The sequence below is a fragment of the Homo sapiens genome, chromosome 5, assembly GCF_000001405.40.
Source record: "Homo sapiens chromosome 5, GRCh38.p14 Primary Assembly".
NCBI lineage: Eukaryota > Metazoa > Chordata > Mammalia > Primates > Hominidae > Homo > Homo sapiens.
This window is the reverse complement of record NC_000005.10, coordinates 65325484-65338223: the sequence shown is the minus strand read 5'-3', so window position 1 is coordinate 65338223 and position 12740 is coordinate 65325484. Positions and strand designations below refer to the sequence as shown.

General features: G+C 32.7%; 1 protein-coding gene across 13 annotated transcripts in view; it reads left to right on the top strand.

Moving 5' to 3' along the window:
* ADAMTS6 (ADAM metallopeptidase with thrombospondin type 1 motif 6) overlaps window positions 1-12740 on the top strand; it is a 333183-nt gene that overhangs the window by 143697 nt on the left and 176746 nt on the right. For 12 of the 13 annotated variants that reach the window (NR_135689.2, XR_007058575.1, XR_007058576.1 and 9 more), the window contains 2 exons: window positions 4139-4182; window positions 8741-8846. Coding sequence is in view for 10 of the 13 variants with exons in the window: in XM_011543117.3 (XP_011541419.1) it covers window positions 4139-4182; window positions 8741-8846 (150 nt within the window). In the remaining 3 variants the exon portion in view is untranslated. Of the gene's footprint in view, window positions 1-3787; window positions 3837-4138; window positions 4183-8740; window positions 8847-12740 lie in introns of those variants that run through there. The other variant, XM_011543123.3, reaches the window with a different exon arrangement.

The following is a 12740-nucleotide window of genomic DNA, read 5'->3' as shown; positions in this document are numbered from 1 at the left end:
TTTTCATCTGAAGCCGTTATTACACTTTCACGAAAAGAAAACCAAAAAAGTACCATAGGGATAAGGTGCTATTTTTCTATCCAAATTCAGAATAAAGAACATTTTCCAATTTTATTTCAGCTTTTCTTTTAATTCTTAGCATTCCAGTGTACTTCTTAGCCTAGTCTGAAGTTAGGATCACAGGCCTAAGTTTGGGGGCTTCTGCCACCTGTGGGTTGGTAAGGATTTAGTAGTGACTGATTTTTGTAAAGGGTGTTGAGAGTAAGCAATTAGAATTCCTTTTCCTCAATCTCTTCTTTCTTCAATTTGTACTGCTGCAATAAAAGTCCTAAAAGTATACCAATTATATATTTGGGATAAAGCGAGACTCCTTGCATTATTTTTCTTTGTAATTTTTCCTGAAGTGGCTTGGATCTGGAGGAAAATAAGGTAAACCCACAGTATGGCAGAGAAGAGTTGATGGGATGTAGAGTGAATATGATGCAAAGTAAAAATGAGAAAGTTAGGTAAAAGAAAGAAAGAGGGTGTGAAGTTAGTGAAGATTATTATTATAGCATAAAATTTAAAAATGATATTTAAATATAAGATGGGAGACGACTGAGAGTTATATCGAGGAACTGAAATAAGCTGGTTCATATTTGGCCTACTTTAAGAGACATTGGCTTAAGTGTAGTAGAGCTTGAATTAAATGATTTCTCAAGATTTTTACATTTGTAAGAAATATGGGGCTGACAGCACAGAGAATAGTTTGTGGGAAAGGAAAGAATCAGGAATTTATACATGAAGAAGAAGGAAAATAGGAATAAGAGAATGAATAGAGTAAGAAATATCCCACAAAAAAGAAATTGAAAAAGGTAAAATATGAGATAATAGTAAGTTTATAAAATATGTAAATAATAAACTAAAAGCAATTTTGAGTTTTAAAAAATGTCTCAAATGATTACCTTGCACTTCTGCTGAACATTTTGTTATGTGCAGGTAACATGATATTGAGTGAGTATACACAAAGTATGGAAAAATATTCATATTCATCAATTCTATATTTGAATGGAAATTAAGTATAGTGAAGTTTACCTTCAATAGAAACTTTAATGTTTCAGATTTATTATTCCCAATTTATAGTATAAATACAACTTGATTCTATATTATATAATTCATGGATAAGATGGTGTACTTTTTAATCCATGACTGAAGTCTTTCTTCTGCCCACAGTCTGTTTCTGCTATTCCATGATACATATTCAGGGAAGGCAATTATAAGAATGGCCTAAAGAAGATAAATCTATTAGAAGTAGGTATCATGGTAGATATAGCCACATATAAATTTTTTTTTATTACCTTGTCATGCCTTCCATTTATCAATCTGGAATTTTTATTGTTGCAAACTGAGCTAAGCTAGTATGTTCAGGCAAAACCTTAGGATTTGGTGGATAAAGGTTATCAGTTATAATGAAGGGAAGTTTTAGATCAAATTCCATTATAAATATAAATATCTGTAAAATAAGCAGGAAGGCACAAATATCATATTCCTTATTTTATAAGCTTGATGACATTCCAACTCTGTTATTTAGGTGCTCTGACAATACTTTGCATGAAGAGTGCCCTCAATTTGTATATGAAAATATTATGGGGACAGAATTTATTACCCTTATATTTGTTATCAGGAACCCTAATACTCCAAACCATTGAGTGGACATACAGGACAAATCTCAGATGTGTTACCTAAGTATACATCCTGCAAAGCTTGTGGGGTTTTTGTATGGGTTCATGCAAAGTGGGGCAGTGCTTCTGAAATATTTTGGCCAATCTACAGATCTGGAGCACCACTAATTTTTTCCTTCAATGCAATGAAAAACACATTTTTAACATTCATTAGACATTCATTGGCTAATTATCAAGTTTCTCTTGTGTTTATCATCAGAGACAGGCATAGCTGAAAGAGTTTCTGATTAAAGTTGGTTGTACAGAAATGTATATATGTATGTATATTCTCCCTACTCTCCCACCTCTCCCTTAGATACCCACTGTTATCCTTCCAGATTTATATCTATATATAAACTCAATCTGTATATATACTCATGGTTTGAAAAAATCCTTCTCTACTATACAAACTATTTTCTAAGTTGGTTTTGTCTATAAGAAAAACAAATCTGGTTTAGCATTCAATGTTTCAGCCTCTCTGAAATTCTCATCGTTCTTCAGATATGCCATACTCTTTCTAGACTTTGTTCCTTTGAATACTCTATTCTTTTCTTGGAATGCTTTTACTTTTCTTTTTTTTTAATCTGGCTTAATCTTTAAAACCTGTTTCAGATGTATGTCCTATATGAATCTGTTTCCTAGTTTTCTATGTGTATTCACTGTTTTGTCTGTATTTCTATATTTTGTTTTTAAGTAGGTTATGGCAATAATCATCATGATAGTAGTTAACAAATACTGATTGCATAATGTAACTCTAACTATTTTTACATTTATTTTATTTAATCTTTTTTCAACATTTTTCTGTAATATATCACTTGTGTTTTATTTCCCCAAATAGACCAAAAGTAACTTATTTATCTTTCTATTCCTAGTATATGGCACTATACCTGGGCATATGATAAATGTTCAGCAAACTGGTAGACCAGTTTTAGGAAGGGCACTGTGGAACTTGGAGGTTTAGAAATAGATTCTATTGAAACATCTGTATCTGCATTACCATGAAAAGTCTTCCTTTACGTTTTCTTGAAGACTGCTAGAAAAGGTTGTGGCTATGTAACAATAGGCATAACACACTATGTTGCAAGATAAATTGACTGTGACACCAAGAATATACTTTATGGTGCTTCGATGAGTACACTGGTACCCTCTCTATATCTTACATTCGAGGGTGTTCCAAGCATTGCAGTCCCATGGCTTACCAATTACAAAAGAAGAAATAGAGAGGATGAATATGTGAATGGTCAGAAGAGAAGTTTATGCAAGAGGAAAAGAAAATCCCTTTCCTCAAATGTAAAATGAGCAGGATGAAGAGTTTGAAATTCTAAAGATAGACAGAGGGTATCTCCAGAAATTTTAATGAGTTCAACAACCCAGTGATATGGCTGGTTATAATATACAATTTAGTCTGGTGATTGATAAGTAAGAATGGGATTATTTGCTAACCCTCTCCCCTACTAATATTGACTAATCGTTATTTATATATAATAAAAGAGAACTCTTACAACTTGAATTTCCCTGTAGTTTGTGAAGCTTTACTTTTTAACTGAAATCTTTTCGCTTCTAGCATAAAACAGAGGCAAATAAAAATTTTTAGCCTTTTACATTTATTTTTTACTCTCACTTTAGAAACTTTAAATACTTTTGGTTTTAAAAATGTTTACAAGGATATACTGAAAATGCTTAAAATAAATGTTTATATCAATATTGACAGGATTCGAAATGTAATATTTTTAAAATATGCAACATTATGGACTCAATATTTTGTATTGAGTTATAATGCAGCATGGTATAGAATAAATCTGATCAACATTAGGGAAGGTTTCTATTGACAGATTCATTTAGCCTGTTGTAAAATCACTTAAAAATATTTGTATTTTAGCCATGCTAATTTGCTGGTATACAACTAGGAGAAATATGTAATATAAATTTTATTCCCATTGTTGTATTACAATATCTTTTTTTCTTTAACAAGAACCTGTGCTAGAGTTAAAGCAACTCCAAATAGTGCCTATAGCTCAGAAGTATAAAATGCAGTCTGTGTCTGTAACAAAACCTATTCCCACAGGTTCAAAGGAGATTGGAAATAAGAAGCCACCTATTTGCGTTTTGCAGAAGTAGTAACAGTCTGCAGACAAGGTACTCTAGCTTCAAAACAGTATGGCAGATCGTTTTATGGAACTTGCGATTACAAAAATCCACTTTAACCTTTCTTTCTTACTGGCAGGTGTTCTATTGGCTTGCAGCCAGAGGCTGTGAGTGTAGTGCTGCCTGTGGTGTCCCTCAGCACTGTAGAGTGCTGAAAATGCCGACACTCCAGTTGATTGCTCATAATTGCATTAATTGTGGTCTGACAACTTCAGGAGAGAAGTATGATGAATATAGAAAAATATGTTACAAATCTGATCAGATTACAAATTTCATCTCTGTTTTCTCCATAGATATGATATCTGCACTTATAAAAATAAGCCCTGTGGAACACTGGGTAAGTTTTTTTTGGTTTTTTTTTTTTTTTTTTTTTTTTTTTTTAATAAAGGTAGAATGGTTCTGATTGTCTTTTTGGACCAATGACTTTAATCTTTATTATTAATTTGGTCATTTTCCTTTCTGTACATCTGAAATCCTAAAACCTGTTACACCCAGCCTTTGTGGATATGTCATTTACTAGGAAACAAATATTTATTACCATCATAAATATTATATAAATTTCATTGGCTTTTTTGACAACTGGAATGATTATTAAAATTAACTTAGAATATGATTCAAATTCATTAAAGAATTATAAATCGAGGTTATCACTCATGTTCATATAATCTATCTCTGTAATGTATTTTCTAGAAATACCAAGATTGTGAGAGTAAATGAAAGCAGTCAACATCTTGAAATTTCAGGCTAGAAAAGGAAAGAAAAAAAAAACACAACTAAGGATACTTAATGAAGAGGCACCAAGAACAATACTTTTTTTGGTACAATTTTGTGGAAAAAGTATAGCCCCATAAATTAAGATAGTATTGGAAATTTTATACTACCCAAACAACAACAACAAAAAATAATCTTATAAAATATTATAGCCACAGGTGAAAAGAGAGGACAGGATTATCTTTCTTGTGCTCCCTAAGGGTCATTTGTCTTTTTAAAAGCATTTTTGTAGTATTCTAGAATTTTAAAAATTACACATTGTTACAGAGCATAATTTCATAGTTAACTGCAAATACAAATGGGCAAAAAAGGTAGCTCTCCAGTAGTCTAAATTATTAAGCAACTAAAGTTATTTTAAAGGACAGAAGCTTTTTTTCTCAATTTTTTAAGGTCATAGAGACTTTTTACAGACTCAGAAGGTAAACAACTGAAGATGAATTCTCTAGTTTCTCTATGACAAGTCTCAATTTTCTTATCTGTAAAACAATAGTTATGAAATTGATTCCTATGCACCTCACAAGCATTTTGCAAAGATCAAATTAAAGTAGTTGTAGGAGGAAAAGTGTTATGCAACTGCCTGGGAAGTTCAGTGAAATATCTCTTCGGAAACTAAAATTTCTCTTGATAATTTTACCTGACTTCCCAGGCTTCTCCTACCCATTTCCCTTAGGATTTATGGCTGAAGAAGAAATCTCAAATAGCCAATGCTGAGTATTAACTATGGAGAAGCTTGCTAGTTAAAAAGCATAATGGAGACAGAGCTCTCTTTGCTGAGCGAGCTCACATCAAAAAGATTTACTTTGTAGTGTTTTAAGCTAACAAGACCAACATAATCCAACAGAGGGGACTCTGAACTGGGAACTAACAACTGGCTTTGACAGTTTCAGTACATTAACTTTTACAGTGTATTTAAGCTCTTTGTTCCTCAATTTTGTTATCTATGATGTAGGAGTAATATCTGCCCTTATGCTACATGGACATGGTTAAAATCATTTAAGGAAAAAAATGTAGATGTATTTAGTAAAGAGGTTTATAAAAATGAACTGGTATTATTTAATGTAGAAATTGCCTATTCTTTTAAACTTACCCCCCATATTTACTGTTCACAGATTCTCTAAGTATTTATTAAGTGTTCAGTCAATTTTAGATATAATAGACACTAGACCTCAAATCAGGTGCACATATTAGCCAGAGCTAGTATTTTTCTAGTGTATCTATATTTGAAGAAATGTGTATATACACACATACACACATTTGCACATATACACTCTCTCTCTCTCTCTCTCTCTCTCTCTATATATATATATATATATATATATACCCTCACTGTCTCTCCCTATATATATATTCTGCTTTTTGAAGGTAGGTTATTTACATATGCTCTTCATTGTATTAGATTGGTGCAAATTACTTTGCACCAACCTAATGACATTGGTAAGACACACATACAGTGAATTTTACTTTTATTTTGATAAATAAAGTATTTTGAGAAATAAAGTATTTTGAGTACTGCCTAGTACTTTGATTGTCATTATTGGCAAAGATTTGAGGTGTTTTCCTATGCTACTTCTCATTTTATTTTTCTCAAAATAATGTGTTCTAACTTTGATAGTTTATTAATTTATAGAATCAGTACATTAATAGGTATGTGTCAATGCACTTTCAAGCTCAATATAAGTTATTTTTCAAATTATAAACTTGTATATTGTTTTTATACTACTTCTTGTGAAAACTGAATGAGCTGCATATATATGTATATATACACACACACGTTTTAACTTCATCTATGGAAAATATATTATCAGTACAGAATTGAGCAGATTACTTTTTAAGTTGTATTCTAGTCACTTTCATATTGGTTTTTATACTGATTTTTCCATAGTCTTTTGCTTAATAATTCTGATGACCAATTGTAACATGGCTAAGTAGGCTTAAGGGTGCAAACTGTGGCCATCAAGCTGAGGAAACCTAAATGACCGAAATAGTTATCAAATCGCCATTAACACAATCACACATAAGAATTTTGACAGTCTCAATTTTATAGGTATACAGAAAATTGTGGGGGGTTGTGAAAATACATTAGCATTTAAAATACTTTCATTTTAGTTAAGATTTAGCTTTATATTTCAATAAGTAGGAATTTTCCAAGTATATTCTTTCTGAAGTTGTTGTTCTAGCAGAGATAATAATTTTATATAAGATGGCAGAAGTAAATCTGTGCTTGTAAATACACCTTGAGGAGTCATTGAGAATTCTCAATTGAAAATACAGCCACATGGCACATACCAAAAAACGACACAACAACAACAAAACCCAAAAGCTAACCCATGGAATAATAGATTTTGGGAAATGTAAGAAACATTAATTTAACAATAATTATTCTTAGTAATTCTGCTTTTCTTTTGAAAAAACATACATTTCATAAAGGCCAAAACAGAAACAGTATTCAGAGTGGCTTTGTTCTTCCCATATAATAGGCCACATTGAACCAAATAACTTAAAGCCAGATAATATAATGCAATTTTTAAAAAAATATTTCAGGTATTTTCCTATTCTACTTCTCATTTTATTTTTCTCAAAATAAAAGTAAAATTCACTGTGTGTGTCTGTCTCTTTCTCTCAGTGGAGATTGGAAATGACATTCATTAAAATATTTTAAATATTTAAACAAATATTAAATATTAACCAAAAATTAACTGAAACAAAAAAATAAGTTATCCTGCTCCACTTTTTACATTCTCTTTTTCAGGTCCCAATACCTCTAATGAATGGAAGGGCAGCCCAGGGGTATCACCAGTATTTATAACTCTGTGAGGCAGAAATCAACTCCCTCCCCAACTCTTGCCTGTCTCGCATAAAACAGTAGGAAAAGCAAACGATCTATTAGCAAATCCAGCATTAATCTCATCTCTGTTCCAATGTAGCTGTTGATACTCATATTAGAAAATACAGAGAAACACAACTTCTAGAGCTTTCTTGTCAGTAAAAATATGGATTGAATACCATTTATTGTTTCTAATTAGTACAGCTGGGAAATTATACCTAGCACAGAACATTGCTTACTGTATTCAATAAATATTCATTGAATTGAATCGAAATCACTTTTGGTGGGAAAGTAATTATTAATGTTTGGGTGATGATAGTAGACTACTGACCATAAAAAATGTTTTTCCTACTTCCCCTTCAACTTCTAAATAACTTTTTGTTTCTATGTGCATGAAATATGATTTGGCATCTGTTTCCTTATAAGAGATGACATTTTTGCTTTTGCACAAAAATTCTTTTTTTAAGCACTGCTTTAAAGTTCTGTAGTATTTCACACAGCATGATATTCATTTGAAAGTAAATATTAAAACTTCTACATACTAAAATCCCCAAGGGGAGAATACCTTGAGTAACATAACATTTCACTGGAATCAGCGAATTAACACCATAGTATTTGCTTTATTAGTAAAACTCTAATGCATTGAAGTAAGGGATAGGAGAGAGGAAAAACGACACTGAATGTGTGAATGACTTTCCTCCTATTAAAATACTAAAAGAAATTGTTGCATCACTGTCAGGATTAATTTGAGATTAAAAAAAATGCAAAAACCTCCCATCTTTAACAGTTCTCCTTTCCATCTTTTGAATCATTCATTTTATTTTTTAATAAAAATATCACTTAAAAAATAATTTGGGATTCCCCCTTTTTTTGGTAACTAGAAAGTTGCTTGTATATTTTTATGAACCCACTAAACTTAAACAGATCTCTTTAGAAAAATAATGTGGATATATTTTGCTTTCTACAGCCTGAAGAATGTTAAAATAGAAATGCTTTCTTGAATTCCCTCTTCTGGCTCAAGTTACTAGGTGGTCCCAAGTTACCAGAAGTAAAATTTATAAATCTAACCCCTAGTCTAGACATTTTCCAGCACTGACTGCAGTTCAAAAAATATTAATGTCTAGCCGGCAAAGTGAAATTCCCCCCAGTGATTTTGCAAATGACTAGAAAGTTAACCTTTTGCCAACGGCTCCTTCTGTGCATGGAGGTTATTAAAAAGAATCCAGGCATTTATAAATATAGGCTTTTAAAGACTGAAACACCTTGGCTTGACCCTTTGTGTCTCTTTCTGTTTATTCAGGCTTGGCCTCTGTGGCTGGAATGTGTGAGCCTGAAAGGAGCTGCAGCATTAATGAAGACATTGGCCTGGGTTCAGCTTTTACCATTGCACATGAGATTGGTCACAAGTGAGTGAGTTTAAGAAAATCAAAATAAATTTTAGAACTCTGCTCTTGAGCAACTTGTAACTACTGTATGGAAAGGCTGTGCTGAACCTTATTTTACTACCTTTTTGTCTGATTCCAATAGATGATGTTATTATTGTGGGTATTGGGATAAATCACCTGAAGAACTGGAGACTTGTTAGATAATCTTTGTTATTCAAAGAGTAGTATCCTCAGTGGTGAATGCACCACATTTAAGTTTTTGTTCAGTCTCCTCAATACCTGTTTCCTTATAAAGTCCAGTTATTTAAATGATCTTTATTTTCCTCAAGTGACAATGCATATATATTTTAAAATCATTGACGTCACTACCATAAAATGTATTTTTAGTTTTCACTCTTCATACAGCTGTCAGCATCCCTTTTCCAGGCATAAAGTTTGTGCAGACATTGCTATGTAACTTGTATTTTCAGGTGCATTTGTATGTCATTGATAAAGAAAAAAAAAACTGCAAGAAGTACACAATACCATCCTCCTTTCTTTCTAGGAGGACCTGAAGGTTTTAATGTTTGTTTTAAGTGAACCTGTGCCAAAGGAAAAACTATCTTATGTACCCTGCCCCCACCCATGCAAAAAATACCATTTTTAAAATTTTAAACAACAGGCAGTAGTAATATGAAAGCCTATTCATGTGGAGGAAGAGAAGCTTGATAATACTTTTTTTTTAAAATTTCAACATTTGTGTTGAAATTTGACTGAAAGATGACTTGCCTCAATTAGTCAATTTCTAAGCTGATTCTGATGCTTTTATAAAGGTAAAAACTAAACAAACGAGCTTCCAATTTACTAACAGGATTTTTTTTTTTTAGCAGGAAAGCTCTTCTAAAACAGAAACAGTTGACGTTTAGCAAATGACTAATTATATCTGCTAACAAAAAATGAGAGAAAACTTTAAAATGTTAGTCAAGCATTTTTAGCTAAAACAACCAGCTTACTTGCAAGAACTCCTGACATTTGTAGAATTTAAGTTTTATATTCTGCTTTTTTTGGTGGCGTCATAGATAGGGGAAAAAGAACAAATAAAAATCAATGTTTTTTATATACTTACCTCAGAGGTAATTCCTGAGGTAAATCTGTAGTTCAGCTTTTTTGTTGTTGTTGAAGTGGAGAGTAAAATTGGGTCAGTCGGCTGCATTATTTCAAAATTGCAATCAAATTTTATCAAGTTGATATGATTTAGGTGTAAATTTAAATAAACAGCAAGTTTCAAACCCGGCTTGATTCAGACACAGGAAAAGTCAGTATTACACTCTTAATGAAGACTTTAAAATATTGGTATTCTACTTTCCATTGTAATAAACATCAGGTGAATAAAAGGAAAAGCCCCCCCTTAACCAAGCAGTTTATCTTTAATTCACTTAAAAATCTGGCTAATTAATGACTGTCATACTCTTATGCAATCAAACTGAATTTATTAGGTTCTGTTAGATTCAGTTAAATTGGAAGGTTAGGAAAAGTAACATACAGTGGGTGAACACTGTGTATGTGAAAACACTATTATCTTATGTAGTCACAAGTTAGTCAATGTCAACACACACATTTCACATTCCATTCTTGTATGTACGTACTTAAATAGCTGAGGTAAGGGTTTATCTTTCTTTGTATCTTTTATAAAGATTCTGATTGGGCAACTTCCCAGGTTTCCTAGATTTTGTTGTTGTTGTTGGCCTTATAGGTAAATCCTTTCAATTCTTCCTACAATGAATGGCTTGTACCTTATGTAGAAAAATTGTGAAAGAGAAATAGAATATACCTCTGAAGTTTTATGTATCTTGGAGTAACTTTGTTTCACAGTTAACTCTTGTTTGAAAGTATGAGTGTTAAAAATGGGGAAAAAATTCCACAAAATCCTTGGATTGAGAGCCAGAAAAATGCTTCCATTTAAAAATGTTGTTTGACAGACAAAAAAAAAAATAGGTTTTTCCCCATGTCCAGTTTATCACCATGTTTCTATCCCCCTTCCCCAGACAACTGGGCAGATGTGTTTAGCATATATAGTCTGTTTTGTGTTGCTCTAAAGGAATACCTAAGTCTGAGTAACTCATTTTAAAAAGCGGTTTATTTGGCTCACAGGCATACAGGCTGTATGAGAAGCATAATGCCAGCATCTGCTTCTAGTGAGGGACTCAGGAAGCTTCCACTTGTGGTGGAAGGCAAAGCAGGAGCCAGTGCACCACATGGCAAGAGAGGGAGCAAGGGAGATGCTGTGCTCTTTTAAACAACCAGCTCTCATGTGAACTCATAGAGCAAGAATTCATTCATTCTCCCCAGGAAGGCACCAAGCCAATTATGAGGGATCTGCCCCCATTACCCAAATACCTCCCACCAGGCCCCACCTCCAGTATTTGGGATCACATTTCAATATGAGATTTAGAGGGAACAAACATCCAAACTATATCAACATACTATTTTTTTCAATATGTCAAATTATTATTTGGTCAATTAGGGAAAATTTGTTTCATATGTGAAGATCCCTTTACTTTCTTTTAAGATCTTAGGGTTTAGCCTTTAGGGACTTAGCGGTCAACTCTGGCACAATTCATGTCATCATTAAAATACAGTGATCTCTATTCTTCCTGAACCAAAGCAGTAGCCATAGTAAATATATCCAATATATTTTCAGGTGAAGTATACTGATTTTTTGTGACTTGTATCCTTTATGAGATGGATGTTAAGTGACGTGATGATATCAGGAGATTAATTACAGTGAAGAATATTTGACCATAAACTACTGAGAAGAGCCCCTACTGAGTAACTAGACTGTGTGAATATTTTCTCCCTTTCTTTAAATTGTGTAGAATATGGTTTTGCACCCAGTGTTTACTTGTGTAGGGATATAATATCTATTTAAAATAGCTGTGAGATAACATTTTCTTTGGCTAAGCCTTAGTGACCACTTTTATTTCTCTCCATCCTCTCCATCCTTTTGTGAAAACAAGAAATTTATTTCCTTGTCAAATGAAAAATTGAGGTTTATACTATATTTAAATGACATGTCTAGGTTTAATATAGGCTATAAGCCAAAGGCACTTAATGAAACCTTATAGGAAAGAATGTTCTTTGAAAGATTTTAAAAATTAATTATGTAGTTGCCATGAATTTTATAAGTTGAAAAGATTATAATGTCAAAGAGGGGTGGCAAGAATTCAGCCAGACATCTAGTATATTGAGAAAGCTATCTAGTGTATCTAAACTGTACAAAAACAAATAATCTTAACAAGGGGTCTTAAAAATACTCATTTTTTGGTTATGAATGCATATTGAAGTATGTGAGACTGAAGTGACATGATGTCCAGGATTTTCTTTTAAAAGAAAGGAAAAAAAGAAAGAGAAAACAAGAATAGCAACATCTTGAATTTTATTATCTTGATGATGTGTTTATGGCAGTTCATTATGCCACTGTTTCTACTATTGTATATGTCTGATTTTTTCCACAAAATGAGTTCTAAGATCATACATTGTTTAGGTGTGGCTTAACTCATTTATTAATCATGATTGAGTGAACTTTAACTCTAATATTGAGAGAATTTTTAAAGTATTACAATTTGTAGTCAGACACTGTGGCTCATGCCTGTAATTCCAGCATTTTGAGAGGCCAAGGTGGAGGATTGCTTGAGCCCAGGCATTGGAGACCAGCCTGGGTAACATGGCCAAACTCTGTCCCTACAAAAAATACAGAAATTAGCAAGGTGTGGTGGCATGCACCGTAGTCCCAGCTACTTGAGAGGCTGAGGTGGGAGGATAGCTGAGCCCAGAAGATCAAGGCTGTAGTGAACCATGATCGTGATCATGCCACCGCACTCCATTCTGGGTGACAGGCCAAGACCCTGTCTAAAAAAAAAAAAAAAAGCTATATTG